At 38.9% G+C, this 27,040-nt stretch overlaps 1 long non-coding RNA gene across 1 annotated transcript in view; it reads left to right on the top strand.

Moving 5' to 3' along the window:
• The window catches only part of LINC02740 (long intergenic non-protein coding RNA 2740), a 65,948-nt gene extending 39,136 nt beyond the window's left edge, over positions 1 to 26,812 (top strand). Inside the window, exons 5-6 of the long non-coding RNA NR_038309.1 lie at positions 25,899 to 26,009; positions 26,777 to 26,812. This is a non-coding gene — a long non-coding RNA (long intergenic non-protein coding RNA 2740). The remainder of the gene's footprint in view (positions 1 to 25,898; positions 26,010 to 26,776) is intronic.
• The last annotated feature ends 228 nt before the right edge of the window (positions 26,813 to 27,040 follow it).

The raw sequence follows: 27,040 nt of genomic DNA, 5'->3' as shown, positions 1-27,040 counted from the left end.
CTCAGAGAGAGAGCGAGAGCTCACAAATTACCAAGGGGATGGGCCAAGCCATTCATGAACAATGAATCCCATGATTCAAACACCTCCCGCCTGATCTCACCCCCAACACTGGGGATTACATTTTAACATCAGATTTGGGCCAGGTGCAGTGACTCATGCCTGTAATCCCAGTACTTTGGGAGGCTAAGGCAGGCAGATCACCAGAAGTCTGGAGTTTGAGACCAGCCTGGCCAACATGGTGAAACCCTGTTTTTACTAAAAATACAAAAAATTAGCTAGGTGTGGTGGTGCATGCCTATAATCCCAGCTACTCAGAAGGCTGAGGCAGGAGAATCATTTGAACCTGGGAGGTGGAGGTTGCAGTGAGCCAAGATCATGCCATTGCACCCCAGCTTGGGTGACAGAGCAAGACTCTGTCTCAAAAAAAAAGAGAGAGAGAGAGAAGAATGCTATTAGGGCAGGGACAAATATTCAAGCTATATCATTCTGAACACCCCCTCACCCCCTGTCCCAGCATCTCATATTCTCACATGGCAAAATACAATCACACCTTCCCAATAGTCCCTGAAAGTGTTAACTCATTCCAGAATTACCTCAAAGTTTTTAACTAAATAAAATTTAATTAAAAGTCCAAAGCCCAGTTTCTCATTTGAAATGAGTTTCTTTCACTTACAAGCCTGTAAAACAAAAACAAGATACAACAGGGAGGTATAGGCATTGGGTAAGCATTCTCATTCCAAAAGTGAAAAATTGCCCAAGAGAAAGGGGCTATAGTACCCATGAAAGTTCAAAACCCAGCAGGGCAACCATTAAATATTAAAGATCCAAAATAATCTTTGACTCCATCTTGTTCATCCAAGGTGCACTGCTACATGGGGTGGACTCCCACAGACTTGGGTTGCTCCACCTCTGTGTCTTTGTAGGTTTCAGCTCCTGTGACTACTCTCACAGATTGTTGAGTGCTTGTGGCTTTTCCAGGCAGAGGGTGCAAGCTGCCAGTGGATCTACCGTTCTGGGGTCTAGAGGACAGTGGCCCCTTCCCACAGCTCCACTAGACAGTACCTTACTGGGACTCTGTGTGGAAGCTCCAACCCTACATTTCCCCTTGGCACTGGCCTAGTAGAGGTTCTCTGTGAGGGTTCCAACCTGCAGCAGGCTTCTGCCTGGGCACCCAGGATTTCTCATACATCTTTGGAGACCTGATTGGGAGCTGCCAAGCCTTTTTCCTGTTGCATTCTGTGTGCTCACAGGCTTAACACGTGTGGAAACCATCAAGCCTCACAGTTTGCCCCCTCTGGAGCTGGAGTAGCCACTCAAATTGTAGCTGGACCCCTTTGAGCCACAGGTGGAGTTGGGATGGCCAGGATGCAGCAACCAGTGTCCCAAGACTGTGCAGAACAGTGGTACCTTGAGTGGTACCTGTCTTCCTAGGCCTCAGGGCCTGTAATAGGAGGGGCTGCCTTTTAGATCTCTGTAATGACTTTGAGGCCTTTTACCTATTTTCTCAGCTATTAGCACTTGGCTCTCTTTTAGTTAGGCAAATATCTTTAGCAAGTGTTTGCTCCATAGCCTGCTTGAATTCCTCTCCTGAGAAAGCTTTTTCTGTCTCTGCCACATGGCCAGGCTGCAAATTTCCAAACCTGTACATTCTGCTTCTCTTTTAAATATACATTCCAACTTTAAGTCATTTATTTGCTTCCACATTTGAGGCTAGGCTCTTAAAAGCAAACACACCACATGTTGAATGCTTTGTTTCTTAGAAATTTCTTCCACCAGATATCCTAAATCAACACTCTGAAGTTCAAGCTTCCACAGATCCCTAGGGCATGAACAGAATACAGCCCAGCTCTTTGCTAAGACATAATACATGTGACCTTTGCTCCAGTTGCCAATAAATTTCTCATTTCCATCTGAGACTTCAGCAGCCTGGACTTCACTGTCCATATCACTGTTAGAATTTTGAATTTTGGTCACAGCCATATTATCAGTCTCTAGGAAGTTCCAAACTGTCCCACATCTCTCTGACTTCTGAGCCCTCCAAACTTTTTCAACCTCTGCCCATTACCAAGTTCCAACTTTCCTTCCCCATCTTCAGGTATATTTATAACAATATCCTTCTTCTGGTACCAATTTTCTGTATTAGGCTGTTCTTTGACTGCTATAAAGAAATACCTAAGACTGGATAATTCATGAAGAAAATACATTTAATTGGCTTACAGTTCTTCAGGAACTTACAGGAAGTATGGTGCAGGCATTTACTTGGCTTCCAGGGAAGGCCTCAGGAAGCTTACTATCATGGCAGAAGGTGAAGGGGAAGGAACAGGCATGTCACATGGTGAAAGCAGGAGCAAGTGAGAGATAGTAAGAATGGGTGCCACATACTTTTAAATGATCAGATCTCACGTGAACCCAGAGCAAGAGCTCAGTCATTACCAAGGAGATGACCCGAGGCATTTATGAGGAATTTGACCCTAAATACAAATACTTCTCTCTAGGCCACATGTCCAACATTGGGAGTTACTCCTGTTTCAAAGACTTACCATGGTGTTACAGAGTGGGGCATGGGAGTCAACCAGGTTAAAATGACACAAATCTCCACTCTTCTTACTGAAATTAGGCAGTTTTCTTAGATAAATGCTCCTTGGATTGTTGAAATTCTTTGGTTAATTTCCAGAGTTCTAAAAAAGTTGATTTGAACAACTTTGCCAGTTTTCTTTTTGCTTCTATAGAGTAAAACGTATAGAGGTTCTCACTCTGCTCTTCCCAAAGTCCCTCCTTCCAGTAATAACAACTTTCTAGCTTCTGAAAACAAACAAACAAACAAAAACTTGAGCTGAGAATTTAAACCTGTGTTCATCATTTTTTTTTCTATATGCATAAGCACACTTGTAAATTAATCAACCAATCAACCAGCTTCATAAGTTGTATACTTTTCATTTCTACTGAATTGTTTTATAGTCTGACAAAGCTTTGTCTTTTATACACATCTGATTCCAGATAACTACAGGTGAATAATTTAAATGACAGTTCTTCCATTGCATGCTATGAACTACCATCACTCCATTTATTACTGGCAAACATGTTATTAGTGTCTTTAACTCTAGCCCATCAGAGAACCAACTGTGGATTTCCATTCTTAAGATTATGTTCTTTGGAACCACTTTCAGGATCAGTATAATTATCCTTCAGAGAAACAGAAGTACTGTAAATGTTATGGTATAAGATATATATATATATATATATATATATTTATTTATATATATATATAAAATACCTTAAGTTCTGGGATACATATGCAGAACATGCAGGCTTGTTACATAGGTATACATGTGCCATGGTGGTTTGCTGCACCCATCAACTAGTCATCTACATTAGTTATTTCTCTTAATGCTGTCCCTCAGTGTGTCCTCCACCCCCTCGACAGGCCCCACTGTGTGATGTTCTCCTCCCTATGTCCATGTGTTCTCATTGTTCAACTCCTACTTATGAGTGAGAACATGCGGTGTTTGGTTTTCTGTTCCTGTGCTAGTTTGCTGAGAATGATGGTTCACAGCTTCATCCATGTCCCTGCAAAGGACATGAACTTATTCTTCTTTATGGCTGCACAGTATTCCATGGTGTATATGGGCCACATTTTCTTAATCCAGTCTATCATTGATGACCATTTGGGTTGGTTCCAAGTCTTTGCTACTGTGAACAATGCTGCAATAAACATACATGTGCATGTGTCTTTGTAGTAGCATGATTTATAATCCTTTGGGTATATACCCAGTAATGGGATTGCTGGGTCAAATGGTATTTCTAATTCTAGATCCTTGAGGAGTTGCCACACTGTCTTCCACAATGCTTGAGCTAATTTACACTCCCACCAACAGTGTAAAAGCATTCCTATTTCTCCACATCCTCTCCAGCACCTGTTGTTTCCTGACTTTTTAATGATTGCCATTCTAATTGGCGTGAGATGGTATCTCATTGTGGTTTTGATTTGCTTTTCTCTAATGGCCAGTGATGATAAGCATTGTTTCATGTTTGTTGGCCGCATAAATGTCTTCTTTTGAAAAGTGTCTGTTTATATCCTTTGTCGGCTTTTTGATGGGGTTGTTTTTTCTCGTAAATTTATTTAAGTTCCTTGTAGATTCTCGGTATTAGCCCTTTGTCAAATGGATAGATTGCAAAAATTTTCTCCCATTTTGCAGGTTGCCTGTTGACTCTAGTGATAGTTTCTTTTGCTGGGCAGAAGCTCTTTAGTTTAATTAGATCACATTTGTCAGTTTTGGCTTTTGTTGCCATTGCTTTTGGTGTTTTATTCATGAAGTCTTTGCCCATGTCTATGTTCTGAATGGTATGGCCTAGGTTTTCTTCTAGGGTTTTTATGGTTTTAGGTCTTACATCTAAATCTTTAATCCATCTTGAGTTAATATTTGTATAAGGTGTAAGGAAGGGGTCCAGTTTCAGTTTTCTGCATATGGCTGGCCAGTTTTCCTAACACCTTTTATTAAATAAGGAATGCTTTCTCCACTGCTTGCTTTTGTTAGGTTTGTCAAATATCAGAAGGTCGTAGATGCATGGTGTTATTTCAGAGACCTCTGTACTGAATCTATAAATTACTTTGGGCAGTATGGCCATTTTCATGATACTGATTCTTTCTATCCATGAGCATGGAATGTTTTTCTATTTGTTTGTGTCCTCTCTTATTTCCTTGAGCAGTGGTTTGTAGTTCTCCTTGAAGAGGTCCTTCACATCCCTTGTAAGTTGTATTCCTAGGTATTTTGTTCTCTTTGAAGCAATTGTGAATGGTAGTTTACCATGATTTGGCTCTCTGTTTGTCTCTTATGGGTGTATAGGAATGCTCGTGATTTTTGCACATTGAGTTTGTATCCTGAGACTTTGCCGAAGTTGCTTATTAGCTTAAGGAGTTTTTGGGCTGAGATGATGGGGTTTTCTAAATATACAATCACGTTATCTGCAAACAGAGATAATGTGACTTCCTCTCTTCTTATTTGAATATGCTTTATTTCTTTCTCTTGCCTGATTGCCCTGGCCAGAACTTCCAATACTATGTTGAATAGGATTGGTGAGAAAGGGCATCTCTTTCTTGTGCCGGTTTTCAAAGTGAATGCTTCCAGCTTTTGCCCATTTAGTATGATATTGGCTGTGGCTTTGTCATAAATAGCTCTTATTATTTTGAGTTGCCTTCCATCAATACCTAGTTTATTGAGTGTTTTTAGCCTGAAGAGGTACTGATTTTATCAAAGGCCTTTTCTGCATCTATTGAGATAATCATGTGGTTTTTGTCACTGGTTCTGTTTATGTGATGGATTTTGCTGATTGATTTGTATATGTTGAACCAGACTTGCATCTCAGGGATAAAGCCGACTAGATTGTGGTGGATAAGCTTCTTAATGTGCTGCTGGATTCAGTTTGTCAGTATTTTATTGAGGATTTTTGGATCAATGTTCATCAGGTATATTGGCCTGAAATTTTCTTTTTTTGTTGTGTCTCTGCCATGTTTTGATATCAGGATGATGCTGGCCTCTTAAAATGAATTAGGGAGGAGTCCCTTTTTTCAATTGTTTGGAATAGTTTTAGAAGGAATGGTACCAGCTCCTCTTTGTACCTCTGGTAGAATTTGGCTGTGAATCCATCTGGTCCTGGGCTTCTTTTTTTTGGTAGGCTATTAATTACTGCCTCAATTTCAGAACTTGTTATTGTTCTATTCAGGGATTTGACTTCTTCCTGGGTTAGTCTTAGGAGGGTGTATGTGTCCAGGAATTTATCCAGTTCTTCTAGATTTTCTAGCTTATTTGCTAGAGGTGTTTTTAGTATTATCTGATGGTAGTTTGTATTTCTGTGGGGTCAGTGGTGATATCCTCTTTATCATATTTTATTGTGTCTATTTGATTCTTCTCTCTTTTCTTCTTTATTAGTCTGGCTAGCAGTCTATCTATTTTGTTAATATTTTCAAAAAACCAGCTGCTGGTTTCATTGGTTTCTGAAGGATTTTTCATGTCTCTATCTCTTTCAGTTCTGCTCTGATCTTAGTTATTTCTTGTCTTCTGCTAGCTTTTGAATGTGTTTGCTCTTGCTTCTCTAGTTCTTTTAATTGTGATGTTAGGGTGTCAATTTTAGATCTTTCCCACTTTCTCCTGTGGGCATTTACTGCTATAAATTTCCCTCTAAACACTGCTTTAGCTGTGTCCCAGAGATTCTCCTACATTATGTCTTTGTTTTCATTGATTTCAAAGAACTTATTTATTTCTGCCTTAATTTCATCATTTAGCCAGTAGTCAGTCATTCAGGAGCAGGTTGTTCAGTTTCCATGTAGTTGTGCGGTTGTGAGTGAGTTTCTTAATCCTGAGTTCTAATTTGATTGCACTGTGGTTTGAGAGGCTGTTTGTTATTATTTCCATGTTTTGCATTTGTTGAAAAGTGTTTTACTTCCGATTATGTGGTCAATTTTAGAATAAATGCTATGTGGTGCTGAGAAGAATGTATATTCTGATGCTGAGAAGAATGTATATTCTGTTGATTTGGGGTTGAGAGTTCCGTAAATGTCTGCTAGGTCTGCTTGGTCCAGAGCTGAGTTCTAATCCTGAATATCCTTGTTAATTTTCTTTCTCATTGATTTGTCTAATACTGAGAGTGGGGTGTTAAAGTCACCCACTATTATTGTGTGGGAGTCTAAATCTCTTTGTAGGTCTCTAAGAACTTGCTTTACGAATCTGGGTGCTCTAGTATTGGGTGCATATATATTAGAATAGTTAACTCTTCTAGTTGCATTCATCCCTTTACCATTATATAATGTCTTTCTTTGTCTTTTTCGATCTTTGTTGGTTTAAAGTCTGTTCATCAGAGACTAGGATTGCAACTCCTGCTTTTTTTTTTTTTTTTTTTTTTTTTGCTTTCCATTTGCTTGGTAAATATTCCTCCATCCCTTTATTTTGAGCCTATATGTGTCTTTGCATGTGAGATGGGTCTCCTGAATACAGCACAGCGATGGGTCTTGACTTTTTATCCAATTTGCCAGTCTGTGTCTTTAACTGGGGCATTTAGCCCATTTACATTTAAGGTGAATATGGTTATGTTTGAATTTGAGCCCGTCATTATGATGCTAGCTGGTTATTTTGCCCATTAGTTGATGCAGTTTCTTCATATTGTCAATGGTCTTCATATTTTGGTATGTTTTTGCAGTGGCTGGTACTGGTTTTTCCTTTCCACATTTAGTGCTTCCTACAGGAGCTCTTGTAAGGCAGGCCTGGTGGTAACAAAATCCCTCAGCATTTGCTTGTCTGTAATGGATTTTATTTCTCCTTCACTTATGAAGCTTAGTTTGGCTGGATATGAAATTCTCGGTGAAAATTCTTTTACAAATGTTGAATGTTAACCTTCACTGTCTTCTGGCTTATAGGGTTTCTGCCAAGAGATCCACTGTTAGTCTGATGGGCTTCCCTTTGTGGGTAACCCAACCTTTCTCTCTGGCTGCCCTTAACATTTTTTCCTTCATTTCAACCTTGGTGAATCTGACAATTATGTGTCTTGGGGTTGCTCTTCTCAAGGAGTATCTTTGTGACGTTTTCTGTATTTCCTGAATTTGAATGTTGGTCTGTCTTACTAGGTTGGGGAAGTTCTCCTGGATAATATCCTGAAGAGTGTTTTCCAACTTGGTTCCATTCTCCCCATCACTTTCAGGTACACCAATCAAATGTAGGTTTGGTCTTTTCACATAGTCCCATATTTCATGAAGGCTTTGTTCATTCCTTTTCATTCTTTTTTCTTTAATCTTGTCTTCATGCTTTATTTCATTAAGTTGATCTTCAATCTCTCATATCCTTTCTTCTACTTGATCGATTCGGCTATTGATACTTGTGTATGCTTCATGAAGTTCTCGTGCTGTGTTTTTCAGCTCCATCAGGTCATTTATGTTTCTCTCTAAACTGGTTATTCTAGTTAGCAGTTCCTGTAACCTTTTATCAAGGTTCTCAGCTTGCTTGTATTGGGTTAGAACATGCTCTTTTAGCTTGGAGGAGTTTGTTATTACCCACCTTCTGAAGCCTACTTCTGTCAATTTGTCAAACTCATTCTCCATCCAGTTTTGTTCCCTTGCTGGCAAGGAGTTCTGATCCTTTGGAGGAGAAGAGGCATTCTGGTTTTGGGAATTTTCAGACTTTTTGCGCTGGTTTTTCCTCATCTTTGTGAATTTATCTACCTTTGGTCTTTGATGTTGATGATCTTCGGATGGGGTTTTTGCGTGGTCATCCTTTTTGTTGATGTTGATGCTATTGCTTTCTCTTTGTTAGTTTACCTTCTAACAGTCAGGCCCCTCTGTTGCAGGTCTGCTGGTGTTTGCTGGAGGTCCATTCCAGACCCTGTTTGCCTGGGTATCACCAGCAGAGGCTGCAGAACAGCAAAGATTGCTGCCTGTTCCTTCCTCTGGCACCTGCCAGATGCCAGCCAGAGCTCTCCTGTATGAGGTGTCTGTTGACCCCTGCTTGGAAGTATCTCCCCTGATAGAAGGCACAGGGGTCAGGAACCCACTTGAGGCAATCTGTCCCTTAGCAGAGCTTGAGCACTGTGCTAGGAGATCCATTGCTCTCTTCAGAGCTGGCAGGTAGGAACGTTTAAGTCTGCTGAAGCTGCACCCACAGCCACCCCTTCCCCCAGGTGCTCTGTCCCAGGGAGGTGGGAGTTTTATTTATAAGCCTCTGACTGGGGCTGCTGCCTTTCTTTCAGAGATGCCCTGCCTATAGAGGAGGAATCTAGAGAGACAGTTTGGCTACAGTGGCTTTGTGGCCCTGCAGTGGACTCTGCCCAGTCCAAACTTCCTGGCAGCTTTGTTTACACAGTGAGAGAAAACCGCCTACTCAGGCCTCAGTAATGGTAAACAACCCCTCCCCTCACCAAGCTCAAGCATCTCAGGTTGACTTCAGACTGCTGTGATGGCAGCAAGAATTTCAAGCCAGTGGATCTTAGCTTGTTGGGCTTTGTGGGGTGGGATCTGCTGAGCAAGACTGCCTCCCTGGCTTCAGCCCCTTTTTCAGGGGAGTGAATGGTTCTGTCTTGCTGGTATTCCAGGTGCCACTGGGGTATGAAAAAAAACTCTGCAGGTAGCTGGGTGTCTGCCGAAATGGCTGCCCAGTTTTGTGCTTGAAACCCAGGGCCCTGGTGGTATAGTCACTCGAGGGAATCTCCTGGTCTGCAGGTTGTGAAGGCAGTGGGAAAAGCGTAGTATCTGGGCTGGATAGCACCATCCCTCACTGATGGTTTCCCTTGGCTAGGGGAGGGAGTTCCCTGACCTCTTGCACTTTCCGGGTGAGGTGACACCCCACCCTGCTTCTGCTCTCTTTCCTTGGGCTGCACCCACTGTCTAACCAGTCCCAATGAGATGAGCCAGCTACCTCAGTTGGAAATGTGGAAATCACCCACCTTCTGTACTGGTCTTGTTGGGAGCTGCAGACCAGAACTCTTCCTATTCGACCTTCTTGCCCGGGAATGGTATAAGATATTTTTAAAAGGAGTTAGAAAGTACAGAATTGTGGGAGAAATAGGAAGACTCATGTCTAGAAAAGAAGTAGGAAGACAATTTAAAAATGCCCCTGAGTATTTCTCTTAAAACACATGGTTGAATACATTAGAACTTGTAGGGAAGTCTAAGACATCAAGCACATCCAACTGCCAGGTGGGATCACCAAGGGGAAGCCCATGGAGCTATCTCTGGAAAGCTTCTTCCTAACTGTACAATAGTCTGGGGATGTTGTTGTTACCCAAGGTCAACAATCAGGAAAGACAGTGGGACTTGGTGAGGGAAGAGGCAGAGAAGACATTTTATCTATTCTTTACATTCTATCTAAGACCTTCAGAATGTAAGTGTTTGCTTTAATAATAACTCAGAGTCATACAAGAAAAGACTTTTAGGAAATGAAAGTCCTAAATGAACCCAGTTGACAGTACAAAATGTAAGCACAGGTCTCTATTACAGAGGTACACACTTTGAGCTGGGGTGGGGCTATAGACTTGAGAAGAGCCATACCTAGTTTCCGGGTTAAAGTTTGTTTTTGCTATGTCTTCAGTAAATATTTTAGTAAAATATGAATCTCAACTCTCATATTCTTGTAGTATTCTTTCAGGGTCACCCAATCAATGAGAATATTCATACCCACCCCAGACACTGTGTATCCAATTAATTTACCTGTATTTTTTCATAGAACTATAAAAGTAGATTTAATTATTGATTTGTTTGCTTTTTATTTCTTTAGTTTGCCTCTCCAAATGGAATGTAAGTTCCTCAGGGCAAATAACCTGTTTCATTTATGGTTGTATCCATGGCATTTTAAATACTACATAGCACTTAGTGTGTACACTGAAAATGTCTGTTATATGAATTAGATAAAATCAGAATTAATTATGGTAAGAAAAATAATTTAATATGATTATAAAATAATTATTCACTAATAAAAGAACTACAACTGTCGATTCTTAACAAATATGTGTTGAAATAATGAATAAATGGATGTTTTTACTGATTTGTGACCTAAAATAAAGTGAGTTCTGAGTTTATGTTTGGTGCCAAGTAGTTAAGTGTGCTATTACTACAAAATAGAAGCAGCATTAATTTAGGGGTAGATAATAACCTGCAAGTATTGGAAGCAAAGCAAGCATTGTCAAGGGAAGTGTGAACCCCAGCAGTCTGGGAATTGGAGATGCTCTCGTGGAAATTCAGGCTGTGGTCTGAATTCCAAAGGGAGGTGACATTGAAGTGGTATCATTCATCTGGGTAACACATGAGGATTGTTGCCTCATGCCAAGGAAATCAAGGATGTGGACACACAAGGAGTGAGGTTAAGAGCAGAGGTTTAATAGGAAAAAGAAAGAGAGAAGGTCTTTTTCCTGCAGAGAGAGAGGGGCTCCCGAGTGGGTCTTCTGATTCTGTGGTGAAATGCACAGGGCTTTATAGACGAGCTTGATGAGGTGGTGTCTGATTTACATAGGGCACAAAGGATTGGTTGCACAGGGTGTGCCATTTACTCTGCACGCAAAGAAGCTGGCCAATCCACCCTAATCTTTTACTATGCAGATAGGTTCTCCACCTGGCTGGTGCCATGTTGCCTGCTTCTTTAATGCACATGTGCTTGACAAAGAAAAGGAAAGATGGAGCCTCCATGTTGAATATGCCTGGCCCCAGGTAGCCTTTTTCTACTGGCACAGCTGCCGGCATTTACCTATGCAAGTGTCCAGCTTGCTTATCTATGTCTGCAGCTTGATTTTTCAGGCTGATCATTGTTAGAAAAGAAATGATTTGGGGGCTGCTTTTTATTACAGGGAAAGTCTTACTGAGGACTCTTTTACCCTCAATAACTGCCTAAGTAATTTCTTTCTAGCTCCTGTATCAACATGGAACAAAAACACAGTTGACTCTTGAACAATGCAGTGGGTATGGGTGCTGACCCACACATAGTTGAAAATCTATGGATCAATTTTAACTCCCCTGTTGACCAGAAGCCTATAATATAAACAGTCAATTAACACATATATTGTATGCTATGTATACTATATACTGTATTCTTACAATAAAGTAAGCTAGAGAAAAGAAAATGATATTTAACAAGTCATAAGGAAGAGAAAATATATTTACTATTTATTAGGTGGAAGCAAATCATTATAAAGATCATTCATCCTCGTTGTCTTTATGTTGAGTAGGCTTAAAAGGAGGAAGAAAAGGATGTCTCAGGGGTGGCAGAGGCAAAAGGAAATCCACATATAGAAGTGGACCCATGAAGTTCAAACCTGTGTTGTTCAAGGGTCAATTGTATTCAAATTTACCCCCTCTTAAAATGTTTACAAGATTTGACAGAATCTAGATTGTTGAAAGGTATATACTGCAATTATGTCTATGCAGATATCATACACCAGAAGACATTGGGCTACAAAGTGAAATATTTTTTTCCTCCCAAAATTCAAATGTTGACATCTAATCCCAATATGATAGTATTAGGAGGTGGGGTCTTTTACAGGTAATTAGGTAATAAGGGCGACCCCATCGTAAATGAGATTAGTGTGTGGCCCTTTACAGGGGGTCCCAGAGAGCCTTCTTTCTGCTATGCGAGGATACAAGAGGAATTCAACAATCTGCAATCTGGAAGATAACCCTCCCAGAACCCAATCATGCTGGCACCCTGATTTTGAACTTTCAGCCTCCAGAACTGTGAGACATCAATGTATTTTGTGTAAGTCCCCTAGGCTATAGCATTTTGTTACAGCAGCCTGAACCAACTAAGATAGTTATTGGACATTTGCCTCCATTCAAATATGATCTCCTGGAGGCTAATTAGGGTTGATATTATATTCAGCTTCATTACAGCATGAAAATTTAGCATACAGTAGCATTTCCGTAGATATTTACTAAATAACTGCCTACGTTTGGTACACAGCTTATGTCTTATAATGTCAGAGACAATCTAATCACCTACAAGGCAGTGATCCTTCACAGAATCTTAGGTCTTCTGGCTCCAAATATTTTGAGACCTTCTCTTCCTGAGCCACACATTGCAAGGCTAGTAGTGAAGGCCGTTATCCTGTTGGGTCATGTCAATTCCACTTTACGTGACACTCCAGAGCTAACCCATCTTGCTTGGACTTTAATTAAATAACCTTCAAAGATGAAGTATCACAGGGGGCAAGGTCACGGGGATACTTACAATTATTTCCTGCAGCTATTGATTTTACACTAATGATCTTAAATGATGCATAGCTCTGGATCTAGCAGTCTCACTCAGAATTGCAGGTGGGGGCGTGAACTTCAGTTCCCACAAGGGACCAGAGCAATTTGGTTTGATTTAAACTTGTTGATGCTATTTTCTAAGTGTGAAGGAGGATGAAAGTCTGAAACCTGGAGGGTATATGAATGTATAATAAAAAGACAAGAGGTTTTGGAGCCGGAAATAATTGAGTTCCAATCATAATTTTTCCATAATTGGTTGTGGATCTTAAGCAAGTAGTTCAACCGCTCTGAGCCTTGATTTCTTTGTCTGTAAAAGGAATGTGTATACTGGGGTTTTTGAAAAAGTAAAGGAGATGGCAACCTTAAATCACTAGGCAATAGTTGCTGCTTCTTTTCTGCTTTTACATCATTAGACACATATTCCCTTCTTAGGAATATTCGTCTTTTATTTCTTAGAGCACCAAGACCTGTAAGTACCAAATAAATATGTCTCTAATGTTGGTATTAGAGACAATATGGTAAGATTCTTACTTCAGCTATGGTAATATAAAGGGGACGCAGGGTAGAATTCAAACAACTGGGTTTGGGAGCAGATTCTACCTAACTGTGTGACTTTAAGCAACTCTGTGGCCTCTCTGAGTCTCCTGTAATTTACGTGAAAAATATTGACTCCAATATATCCCACCCTGGACTATTTTAATGATAAAAGGGATTAAAAATGTAAAAGCATTTGATTTAAAGATAAGTGATATGAAATGCCATTTAAAATATCCAGTAAAGGCCAGGTGCGGTGGCTCACGCCTGTAATCCCAGCACTTTGGGAGGCCATGGCGGGTGGATTACGAGGTCAGGAGATGGAGACCATCCTGGGTAACACAGTGAAACCCCACCTCTACTGAAAATACAAAAAATTAGCTGAACGTGGTGGTGGGCGCCTGTAGTCCCAGCTACTCGGGAGGCTGAGGCAGGAGAATGACGTCAACCCGGGAGGCGGAGCTTGCAGTGAGCCGAGACTTTGCCACTGCACTCCAGCCTGGACGATAGAGAGAGACTCCATCTAAAAAAAAAAAAAAAAAAAAAAAAATCCAGGAAATAAACGATTAGAATACCTGAAGAACCAGGAATGAAGGCATTTTAACAGCTTTGCCAAGAATACTGATTTAAAATTGCTGCTTATAGGTTGTGCAACAGTGTACACATGCATGGAGGTTCTTGTTTTTTCTTCTTTTCTTTGAAGTCTGAAGACAAAAGAGACCAATAACCAAGGGGTAGTAGAAATCAAACCTCAAAATTAGAAGATAACACTAAGAAACGCAGTTAGGGAAACAACCGTGAGTCATAGACAGCTCCGCGCCTCTCCCGCAGGCTTCTGCTAGTGCAGGTGCACTCCTGGGCACTTTATGCAGAACATTTCATGACGAAAAAAGCTCCTATGTCAAATTGGTATTTTCTCTTTTCATAATTTGTTTTAATTTTGTTTTTTATAGTTTTGCAAAGTTTGTATTTTGTTTTATAATTATGTAACTATTTAGTTCAAGTTGAATCTATCAAAACAAGATATATTCAGAGAAATTTAGCTTCTGTTTCTGTCTCAACCCTGTTTTTTTTCTGTTATTGGTAACGTTACAATTTTTAATTTTTTAACATAAGCCACTATAAATTATATAATTTTTCTTTTTTTAACTTTTGTTTTAAGTTAGGGGTACAAGTGCAGGTTTGCTATATAGATAAACTTGTGTCGTGGGGGTTTGCTATACAGATTATTTCATCACCCAAGTCTTAAGCCTAGTATACATTAGTTATTTTTCCTGATCCTCCCCCTCCTCCCAACCTCCAACCTCTGACAGGCCCCAGAATATGTTCTTCCCCTCTATGTGTCCGCGTGTTCTCACCATTAAGTTCCTTCTTATAAGTAAGAACATGAGGTATTGGATTTAGCTTTTAATTTTTCCGATTGTTTCTCAGATTTTTAGATTGACGTACTTGCATTGTCGTTTTAATTTACTATCTCTGAAATTCATGCATTCATTTACTTGTCTGTTTGTTTTCAACAAAGATGCATCTGGTATTTACTATATGTACCTCATATGTGCTAGATATAAGAAGACCCATTAAATACTTTCAAGTTGGTTCCATTTATAAGGGTAGTCAGATGCATGAAGAAAGAATGACTAATGGCCAATAGTGAGCACAGAGTAAGAAACTTGGACAATACCAGGTTGTCCTGGAAAGCATTCAGAAGAAAGTGATCCCTAAGTTGAGAACACAGAAGTAGTAGGTCAGGATGGTAATGCTGGAGGTTGTTAAAAAAAATGCTTTCATGTCGTGTTTGAGGATCTGTAAATAATTTTACATAGGTAAAACAGTGTCGAGGTAGGGAGAAGAAGGGGAAGATAAATAGCAGGACAGAATGTGATTAATCATAAGCTTCTTTGGTGTGGATACTGTGATGTGTGACCCAGGCCTCCCTCCAGTGACTTCTTTTCCCAGTGTTGAGAGTGCTGTTGGCCAATAGCCTTCACTGTCAGTTCCTTCAAGGATTGAATCACTTATAGAGCCACCTTGCCCAAAGTCCTGGAGTAGCCCAAGTGGCCACCCAACTCGGGACTACTCTGAAGGGCCATTCTAGCTCCAGAGCTTCTAATGGAGTTGGCTGAGACTTCTCTGCATTCTACGTTAGGCTCAACTACTCCCTCTGCCCACTGTTACTCCTTTTCCGTCACTTTCAAAGGTTTGACCCCAAGGGCACTCAGCATGTTATAAGCATTGTTCAATTTATGGGATTTAGCTCATGTGGTCCAGCAACCCTCATTTTACAGATAGAAAATAGAGGCCGAGAAAGAAAATCTAAGTTTTGAAATAACTTTGAAAAAATTTTGAAATTCAGCTATTGGCTGAACAGGTTTTAGAATCTAGGTATTGGCCGGGCACAGTGGCTCATGCCTGTAATCCCAGCACTTTGGGACGCCAAGGCGGGTGGAACACCTGAGGTCAGGAGTTCGAGACCAGCCTGACCAACATGGTGAAACACCATCTCTACTAAAAGAAAAAATACACAAATTGACTGGGCATGTTGGCGGGTGCCTGTAATCCCAGCTACTCTGGAGGCTGAGGCAGGAGAATCGCTTGAACCTGGGAGGCAGAGATTGTGGTGAGCTGAGATCCTGCCATTGCACTCCAGCCTGGGAGACAAGAGTGAAAAACTCCATCTCAAAAATAAATAAATAAATAAAATAAAAATAGAATTGAGGTACCTTGGCCCCCAGTTCAGTCTCTTGCTTATAATGCGAATATGTCAATTTGTTTGCAACTTCTATGATTTAAAACTAGAAAACTTTGCAAGTTGATGATATCTCACCTCGCCACTCTCATCTCTTATCACTTTTCCCCATACCTTCTGTGTTTTAGCCACAATAAACTCTTTTCAGTTATGTTTAAGTGTGGGTTATGAGTTTTTTCAGCTACAATTGTATATGTATAATTCTTTAGCTCAAAGTCTCATTCTTCTGCCCATTGGCTGCCTGGGTATACATCTGAAGTAAGATTTTATCCATGGAGGTTTTTTGTCTCCTTTGGGCAAAATTATATAAAGTTGCTAGCTTTATTGTATCCTCATAACGTACATAACTCTTGCAGAACATATTCTACCCTTTTATTTTCTTGCATATTTCCTTTTTAGGTTAAAAGCTTCAGAAAACCTTCGAAGTTTTTCCTCATCTCTATTTGAACCACTTAGAACAAAAAATAAGGGGAAAAAGCTAATGAAAGAAATAATACATTTCCAAAGGCTTCTAGGCATATAAGCTCCCTCAAAATAATTAATGATTGTGTTGATAGTAGTAGTAGAAATTACAGTAATAATGAATATCTGGAAAAGCATAACAACATTAAAGAACTTTGACAAATATTTTGTACTGTTAAGAAATATTATCTAAAATGTGGAAAAATGCACTAAAGGATGACTCTATGTCTTTTCAAAATTTTACTGGAGTATTGTCTAACTGGTCTGCTTAAGGATTACTTAGTTCTGTAGCTTAATGCACTTTTGATTGACATACTATTTTCTATTGATTAGAACCATGGCTCTGTAAAATTATATGTTTTGAGATGCATTTTTCTGGTAGGCATGCAAATTACTTCTGTTCAGTAGAAATGATAACTGTAAAAGTTATGGATTTATTCTCCCTGTAGTATTTTTTTTCCATCTTTAATTTTAGGTTCAGTAGGTACATGTGCAGGTTTGTTAAATGGGTAAATCCACGTTGTTGGAGTTTGGTGTACAAATGACTTTGTCACCCAGGTGGTGAGCATAGTATCCAGTAGGTAGTTTTTCAACCCTTACCCTCCTTCCATCCTCCCCCTCAAGTAAGCTCTGGTGTTTATTGTTCACATCTTTGTGTCCTTGTGTACTGCTCCCACTTATAAGTGAGAATGTATGGTATTTGGTTTTCTGTTTCTGCATTAACTCACTTAGGATAATGGCCTCCAGCTGTATCCATGTTGCTACAAAGGACGTAATTTTATTTTTAATGGCTGCATAGTATTCCATGGTGTATATGTACCACATTTTATTTATCCACTTCACTGTCAGTGGGCATCTAGGATGATTCCATGTCTTTGCTATTGTGAATAGTGCTGTGATGAAAATTGAATGTGTATGTCTTTTTGGTAGAATGATTTATATTCCTTTGGGTACATACCCAGTAATGGGAGTGCTGCTTTGAGTGATAGTTCTGTTTTAAGTTCTTTGAGAAATCTCCAAACTGCCTTCCACAGGGGCTGAACTACTTTACATTCCTACCAGCTCTATATAAGCATTCCCTTTTTTTTCCCACAATCTAACCAACATCTGTTATTTTTGACTTTTTTTTTTCAACTTTTATTTTAAGGTCTGGCATGCATGTGTATGTTCATTGCAGCAATACTTACAATAACAAAGACATGGAATCAACCCAAATGCCCATCAATGATAAACTGGATGAAGAAAATGTGATACATATACACAGTAGAATACTATGCAGCCATAAAAAGGAATGAGATCATGTCCTTTGCATGGACGTGGATGGAGCTGGAAGCCATTATCCTTAGCAAACTAACACAGGAACAGAAAACCAAACTCCACATTTTCTCACTTATAAGTGCAAGCTGAACGGTGAGAACATGTGGATGCATGGTGGGGTGGGGAAGCAACACACACTGGGGCCTGTTCGGGGGGAGGCAGGGAGAGTATCAGGAAGAGTAGCTAATGCATCCTGGGTTTAATAACTAGGGGATGGGTTGATCTGTGCAGCAAACGACCATGGCACTCGTTTCCTATGTAACAAACTTGCGCATCATGCACATGTAATCTCTGCAGTAATCTTACTTCAGCAATGTTTTTCAGTGTCTGTATTTCCTTATTTTCTCTAAGTCTCCTTCGAGCAAGCTTTACAATATTCTGCTACTTACCCTATTTATGAGTTAAATAAACCTTTGACATGTGCTCACTATATGTTTGTATAAAAGCCATGTTTTTCATTTCTTTCAAGTCCAAGTTTCTTGACCTCAGAACTTGTGCTGTGAACAAGAGAATCTTAGCTCTGACGGGGAATGTGTCAAATGGTGAGAAGGAAGTTCTCAGAAGGGAGGTGTAAGAGTGTTGAAAAATACATGTTGCGGAGTGTGTAGTTTTGCCAGTCATTGGTCCTGATAAATAACCTAAGAAATGTTTCAGAGTTACTTTCTCTCCATTGTCTGTAAATTTTAAGTCTTCCACCACTACCTTGGTGCTGAAACTTACCAATTTTCTATACCCATTCTAACAAGGAATCTTGGCAAGTATGAGTGTTAACAGGAATGTAAGAAAAGAGAGGGAGAAAAAGAAAGAGAAAGGAAGGCCTATGGTCTGACCCCCTAATAATGTTGTATTTCTATTGCTCTTACAGTTTTTCCCTATGGGATATTTCTGTGAATGACATAGAAAACAAGTTAGTGTTTTGTAAGAGAGATTTGTTGATGATGTGCTGGGGTAGCACTGACAGAGATCCTAAATCAATTCAGCGTCTTTTTTTTTTTTCTTTTGAGAAATGATGCCTTTATGATATTAGCTCTGTTACTTGAGAAAAACAGATCTGTGTGATTTATTTTATTAGACGTTTGATCTGACTGCAGAGATTTATGTTTGTTAAACTTATTCCCTGGGGATGAAGGTTAGACTACAAAAGAAGTCTAAGATGTTTATGTAATTAATATTAGATAAGTGTTACATGCCTTTAGAAATATGGAAATAACTTTTCTTTCCAAGTAACCCAACATAATTTCACATCATTTCACATGCATTTCATTAGTATCCACTATGTAGAAGGTGCTACAGAGAGCATCAACTTCATGCCTTGTGCCTCATGAGCCTTATGAGGTATTTTAAAGATGGCATTTCACTTAATCTGGAGAGCAATATCATGAAATAGTGGGGAGCAATTCCAGTTGAGCAATGATGGAACTAAGACTCGGAGTGTTTAAATACCATACACAGGATTATAAAACTGGGAAGTGATTACACTGACATGCATGTATCTGCTATCAAGCCTGGTAAGGCTCACATCTCCCTCTTCTGGGAACTAAGAATTGGGAGGAAAGCCCGTGGAGAGGAGAATGAAGGGGAATGTGTCATCCTAACATATCATATTAGCTGAAATTAACTAATGAAAAAACATGGTGAAAGGTTGTATTCTCACATCCTGATCTGTCTCCAAACAAAACTAGGTTCCTTCTGTGTATTAATAGATACTTACATAATGATCATCTATTTTCTATTTTCTCTCTCATTGTGCATAGCTGAAATGTCCAATATGTGCCAGCCAATGTGAAATAATGGAAGTTATGTAGAAGTTCAGAGAAAGAATAAGGAAGTAATTTGGTAGAACATATGAAAACAATATAACCCAAATGCATTGGAAATAAAGGGTAGAGAGGAATATGCCAGCAAAATTATAACCCAAACAAATATGCTATAGCAATATTAATAATAGATACAATAAAACTAAAAGGAAATGTGTCTGCACAAGGAACAATATTTTATACTGACAAAAGGAATGCCTAGTTTATCGTCAAAATGATCTGAAACTTAATATAAGATCAAATAAACCTAAAGAAACAAATACAGGACACATGAAGATAAATTAACAGATACAGTGAGGGACTAAACACACACTCCCTGGGAACCTGATCAAGCAGAAAACAATATCACTAAACAGATATGTAATTTCAATTTCATAATTAGTAGTATGATATAAAAGATGTAGAAACTACTCCCTAATACCCTCCACCCCCAAATGCTGACATATGTGAATGAAATCAGTGTAGTGCTGATACAATAATAGACTCCATTTGGAACAAAGTAGAGAACTGAGAACCAACATGTATCAGGAAACTTGCTATATAATGGCAGCAATCCAACAGTTTAAAGGGGAACAGGTATATTTAAATACTGGTGCTAGGAAATTTGGCTTTCAATTTTGGAAAAATAATTAAATTGGTACTTACTTTACATATGAGAAAAATACATATATTTTAGATGGGTTAAAAATCAGAGCATGGAAAATGAGACAAACAAAAAAGCCAGAACCTTATAAACTTTTAGAAAGATTTGGAACAGAACTTATGTTTGACTTCAGATATGAAAGCATTCATTGAATAACAAGCAGAAAGCATAGAGCATGAAAGAAAGGATTTACAAATTCGATTACTCAATTTTGGATAACACATTTGCAAACCTTTAACAGGCAAAACATTAGTATTTAGAACTTGTAGTGCAAATAAATAATAGCAAACAGCTCAATAGAAAAGCACAAGTTATTTAAACAAGAAATACACAGAAGGGCTAAAAAATAGTTCAATAAATGTATGAAAAATATTCAAACTTACTGGAAATAAGATAAAAATATGAGAGGCTGTTTTTCATCTAGTTTATCAAAAATATACATTTCTGATTATTTGGGTATTGAGGAGGATGTTGAGAAACAGCAACTCACACTACAGGTAAAGTGCAAACCACGGAGACAGCAAATGAAGTACAGTATATGTGGTGCAGTAGGCTGAAGAATTGTCCACCAAACAATATCCACATTCTATTTTCAAGAACCTAGGAATGTTACCTTACATGGCATAAGGGACTTGGATGTGATTACTTTAAAAATTTTGATGTGGAAACATTCTTCTGGATCATCTGAGTAAGGCTGATACAATCACAGGAGTCTTTTAATCCTATACATTTCCCTAGATATCTATGGGAATTATATAGAAAATCCTGTAAAATTGTTTATTTTAACAAACTCATTTTCTTAAAGTTCTAGAGCCCAAAAGTTTAAAATCAGTTTCTCTGAACTAAGAACAAAGTGTTGGTAGGGCTGGTTCCTTGTGGAGGCTCTCGGGGAAAATCTGTTTCCATGCCTTTTTCAGCTTCTATAGGGCCACCTGCCTTGCTGGCTCATGACCTCTGCTTCACACCATTCCAACCCCCTGCCTCCATTGTTACCTCTCCTACTTTCTTCTTTGACTTCTTGCCTCTTTCTTTTTGCTAAGCAGATCAAAGAGACTGTCACAGTTTGTTCAGCCTGCTATAACAAAATACCTTAGACTAGGCAATTTGTAAACAATAGCAATTTAATGCTCAATTAATAGCAGTTCTGGAGGCTGAGAACTCCGAGATCAAGGATCTAGAGGTTGAGGGGCTGGTGAGGGCCCATTCCTTGTAGATAGATGGTCTCTTCTTGTGTCTTCACATGGTTGGGGGTGGTGGCCACGCTCCCGCTGGTCTCTTTTATAAGGGCATTAATCCTATTTGCCAGGTCTTTACCCTCATGACCTAGTCACCTTTTGAAGGCCCCAGCTCTGAATACCAACACATTGTGGATTAGATTTTAACACATGAATTTTGGAAGTATACAACATTCAGACCATAACAGGGATAGTGTATGTACATGTAACTATCCATGACTGGCTTATAGTAGAAAATTTAAAAATGTTGCCATTAGTGTTTCTGTATTATCTCTACATTTCCCCTATGATAAAGGAGGGAAGAAAAACAGTTCATTCACACAACAAATAAGGATAGAAATGAAGGGTATGGAATGGAAAAGTACCATATCTAGAGTGAATAAACTTTATATATATAGGACTGGTATATGTGTGTGTGTGTGTAGACATGTGTATATATATACATATATATATATATATACAGACACACACACATCTAGTATATATACATAACACACAATCTCTGTCACTCTCTCTATATAGTTGTACATATGGACTAAGCAAACTTGTAAAGGAATTAAAATTTTAGAAGAATTTAAAATTTTAGGTGTACATTGGAATAGGCCAAGGGGATAGAGATTCTTGAGCATTCTTCTGTCTCCTTTGCAGCTATTTCTAATAAAAAGAAAATAAAATCTAGGCAAATCTTTGACACATGTATTGACCAGAAGGGTGGTTGTCTATGTTAAAATTAAAATCTTCTGGCTCATTTTCCTTTTCCATGCATGTGTCCTGGGTAATAAGATGATCTATAAATTTGGTCTTTATCATCTAAACCAAGACACCTTTAAAAGGAAAAGAAGCACTATTAAAAATTATAGTGAGCAACAGTTGAAACTGGGATTATCTCAGGTATATCCGAATATATAGTCACCATATCTATGTGAAGATATTTGTATTTTTTTGCATGTGCCCAACTTATACCTGTCTTTCACAAAGGCTACCTGTCCAGCTTTCTTTTTTTCTTCTGATGTCCATTTATTCCCCTTGATTGTTGTAATGTATTGATATTTGTGTATATACCCAGAAGAAAGGATAGAACCTCTAGACCTGGACTCTATCCTGGCTTACCAAAATGTTCTTCATAGGACAACCTAGATAATGATAGAGTGCTTCTATTGCCCTCAACCCTATATATTCCTATTTTGAGAACACCATAGGGACACAGATAATTTATTCTGTACTGCATAGAATAAATGCAAATATCTCTTGCTCTCCTGACCTCAAATGGCATCTGAATACCATGGAAACCATTCATTTCAACCTATCAGAATAGGCGCTAAGCTTTCCCACTAAATATTAGAACATGTAACTTAAGTCTAAATATTGCTCCATGTCTCTCCTTTATTTTATATGTGTGTATACTATACATAATTATATTTGTAAACACATATATAATATGTATATGCATGCATGTATACATGCATGTGTGTATGTATGGGGATGGATCATCTTCCTGTTCATTGCAATATTTTTTTTATTTTTCCTGCTTGAATTATTCTCAATGGTTCATTTATCCATCTATCCACCCGTACATCCATTTATGGTATGAACAAATTTTATCTTCTTTTCTTTCACTCTGGCAAAGATCATATTTTTAACATCAGTTTTACTTCTCCACAGACATTTTCATTTAGAAAGATATTGCTAGCAATTACTTTAGAAAGATGGTGTGACAGAAACAACAAAGTCGAGACAGTTACTACTTAAGATATGTGACTGAATTCCTGAGGTGCTAGAATCTGATTCTCAGTATCTGATTCCCTTTCTAAAATGGTAAGAGGAATTTTGTTGTTTTCTTGTTTTTGGCTGTCTGTTTTTGAAAGGGAAAGAATATCTCACATCATCCTGTTCTGATCAATAACATAATAAAATCACATTTCTGAAAACTTCAAAGGTTGTATTAAATACTTCTTTCCAGCAGATTCCTATGTGTTTTTAATTCTTCCAGAATACTTACTGAATGCTTTATATAGACCAGCAGGTTCTTCAGCACTGTAGTAACAACAGGAACTGAATAGATTCCACCTGTGCCCTCAAGGAACCAGGAGTTCAGTGGAGATGAGAGAAAAATCAATAGAAAATAGTAACTTAGATGTGGGCTAGAGAAGAAGTACCTAACCAAAGATGGGTTAGGGAATGCAGAGGTTAGAGAAAGATTTCTTGAGAATTTCCTGCCTTTGTTTTTGAAGGAAAGGTCTCAGTCTTAGTGGACAGTAAACAAGAAAGCAAGCAAGCAAACCAACCTTCCATGGTCATAGTATGTGTTAGTCTGTACTCACAAAGGGTTAGAAAACCAGCTCAGATAGTATGTGTTTCCTCCCACTAAATATTTTTTTGCTTAGATACAAATTACTCTTTCAAATCTGAGGTTGGATTATAGGTCCCTGCATCATGCTCTTTGTCAAAGAAGCCCCAGAGACACAGCTGTAGCCCTGCAGATCTCCCTAGTCCATTGATTGCCCTTTCAGCACCAGCACACTCTGGAAGGGATGAGAAGTTACATTATTCTATGGTAATTAGTCAGTTTTCCTTAGGGCAGGTGGGGGTGGGAGGGTCTTTGATTCCTATTTTCAGATGTATTCAGGACTGTAAACTCTAAGGGACAATATGCGATTGGATTTTCCTACTCAGGTTTGGCCTCTTGAGCTTGGCTTCATCCAAGGCTACTTTAGGATAATGTTTCCTACTTATGTGAAGAGCCATATGTCCCTGACAGGATTAAAACTTATTAGTATGGGCTGGGTGCAGTGGCTTGCACCTGTGATCTCAGCACTTTGGGAGGCCGAGGTGGGTGGATCACCAGAAGTCAGGAGTTTGAGACCAGCCTGGTCAACATGGCGAAACCTGCTCTCTATTAAAAATACGAAAAATAGCCGGGTGTGGTGATGGGCACCTGTAATCACAGCTATTTGGGAGGCTAAGGCAGGAGAATCGCTTGAACCCTGGAGGCGGAGGTTGCAGTGAGCCGAGATCATGTCATTGCACTCCAGTCTGGGTGACAGAGACTCCATCTCAAAAAAACACAAACAAACAAACAAACAAAAAACCACCTTACTAGTATAAGCTCTAGAAAACAAACACAATGTGAAACTATTTTTTCAAGCAGCAGAGGGGCTCCAAATCCCCACTGGTCTTCTGCACAGATTTGTTTTTTATTAAATATATATTACTGTAAAATATACAATAATAACCAATATTTTGCACTCTAATTTGCAATATTCACAGAGCTTCCATCTCAGTGATTTCATGTGACATTTCATAGAACCCTGGGAATAAGTATTTCCTACCACATTTTCCAACTGAGGAGACTGGAGCTCATAGAAAACAACAAACAACCAAACAGCTCAATTCCCATAGCAATTTTGTGGTCAACATCTTGAATCTTGGACCCAGGTTCTTTTGAGTCTGCATCCCTCTTCAGTTAGCTATGTCTTTGGTGTAATCCATAATAAGCTAAATAGTAATGATAATTTTATTAGATTATTTTAGTTTATCCTTGAAAGATATTCAAATAAATTTCAGAAAATTTATAATTCTTTTCTTCTCATGATCTTCATTGTGTAAATGTGGCCACTGATAACATATCGTTTTCAGTATTTTCAAAGCTCTTTGGAAGGCATAATCTGCTTTTCTTTATTATTTTAGCATATCTTGTCCCAGCACCAAAGCTCCTGTGCAGTTTGTATATACACATATAGACAGTGATGTTATTGTTTCTGTGGCAATAGGATTCTCAATGAGAGAGGAAATTAAAAAGCAACAGGTGATGAAAACAAAATGATTACATCTTCTCTGGGCATAAACACTGGCAACACCTGATAATCTTGAAAGACATTTAGTTCTGTCCAATAAATATTTGTAACTGTCCAATCAAACCATTTTTCGTTATTGCTGAAGTAGACGTGACCAGATTTTACATGTAAGTAAATTTGATGCTTGTTAAGAAAATGAATTAGGAAGGTCTGGAAAGGTTACAGAAAGCTATTCTAATTGGCTTTGTTTGGGTTCCTCTTAAAGCTGTAGGACACCCTTTTGCAGCTTCCTTCTGAAAATGTGGCCTCTGGAACTCTCAAAAGCTGCTTCATTATAGCCCAAAGGGGAAACCAGCCACTCAGCTTGGCATTTTTATTTGAAAACAGAAAAAATCATTACTACGGAAAGCTAACAGACTAGAACCTGGGCTCTCTGATTCTCAAAAGCAAACAAACATTCAGGTTCCTTATGAAGTATGCTCCTATTAAGCAACCTCTCTGAACTGGCAGGGAGTCTAGTCTCAGCACCAAATGTTGGCATAACATTTGTAGTTTATTGCTTTGCCTTCTGATATCATAATTCTCCAATGGTTGTAATGAATTAATATCTCACTGTTTCTATGGTTTGTCAGCAGGAGATAGAAGTTCATGAAGCAGAAGCACAACAGGTGGTGGTTTGTCCTTTAAGCAAGTACTCAATAATTAAGGCTGATCTCTTTGACTCTTCACTGGGAGCAGAAAAAGAAGTACTCTGTTGCATGTTCTTTCTGTATCCTATTTTATTTTACTAGTCATAGCAAAGTTTAATAGTGGTTTTTAGTATTCTTGTTTTAGAGATGAAGACACTGAGGTTCGGAGAGTGTCACTGAGGTTTAGGTTATATAACTAATGTCACCCAGCCAAAGAAAAGGCTGAACGTTGAACTCTAGTCTTTGTCATTCTTAGGTCCGTGTGTCTTCTTAGTGCAGGAAATAACTGTAATAAACCTAATTCTTACATCAGGTTCTGTTCAGTGACTCCTTCTGGCACTTATATACTTTATTGCAGTTAAAATAGGCAACATATGTGTCCTTCTATCAGTTATTTGTGTTTAGGAGGATGTTAAATATAATGTTCAACTGTTTGAATGGAATGAAATTGATTAGTTCACTCAAGTAGCCAGGAAAACCAAGACTTTTTCAGTAGAGAAAAGAAAGAGGGGCTGGGCGCGGTGGCTCATGCCTCTAATCCCAGCACTTTGGGAGGCCGAGGCAGGTGGAACACCTGAGGTCAGGAGTTCAATATCAGCCTGAACAACATGGTGAAACCCCGTCTCTACTAAAAATACAAAAAGCAGCCGGGCATGGTGGTGTGCCCCTATAATCCCAGCTACTCAGGAGGCTGAGGCAGGAGAAACACTTGAACCTGGGAGGCAGAGGTTGCAGTGAGTTGAGATGGCGCCACTGCACTCCAGCCTGGGCAACAGAGCAAATATTTTTTCAGCAAATATTTATTGAGAACTTTTATATTCCAGAGAGAGATGCTGAAGATGGAAGAATGGACACAATAGAATTTGCTATCCCTTCGTATGTCTTGAGATCTAGTACAAAGATTCTGGGACAAGAATATTCGTGCTTTGTTTAGGGAACAGCAAGAGAAGTCACAGTTACTGGAGCAGAGTGACAGATAAAGGGAGAGGTAAGAAAACAGGTATAAAGGGAGTGAGAGACCAGCCCATGGTAAGGATTTTTTTTTTTCTCTTTCAGTACTTACCATTTTATTCTTCCTGTTTATCTTC

This window comes from Homo sapiens, chromosome 11 (genome assembly GCF_000001405.40).
Source record: "Homo sapiens chromosome 11, GRCh38.p14 Primary Assembly".
NCBI lineage: Eukaryota > Metazoa > Chordata > Mammalia > Primates > Hominidae > Homo > Homo sapiens.
The sequence above is the reverse complement of the archived record's forward strand: the minus strand, read 5'-3'. Positions and strand labels throughout refer to the sequence as shown.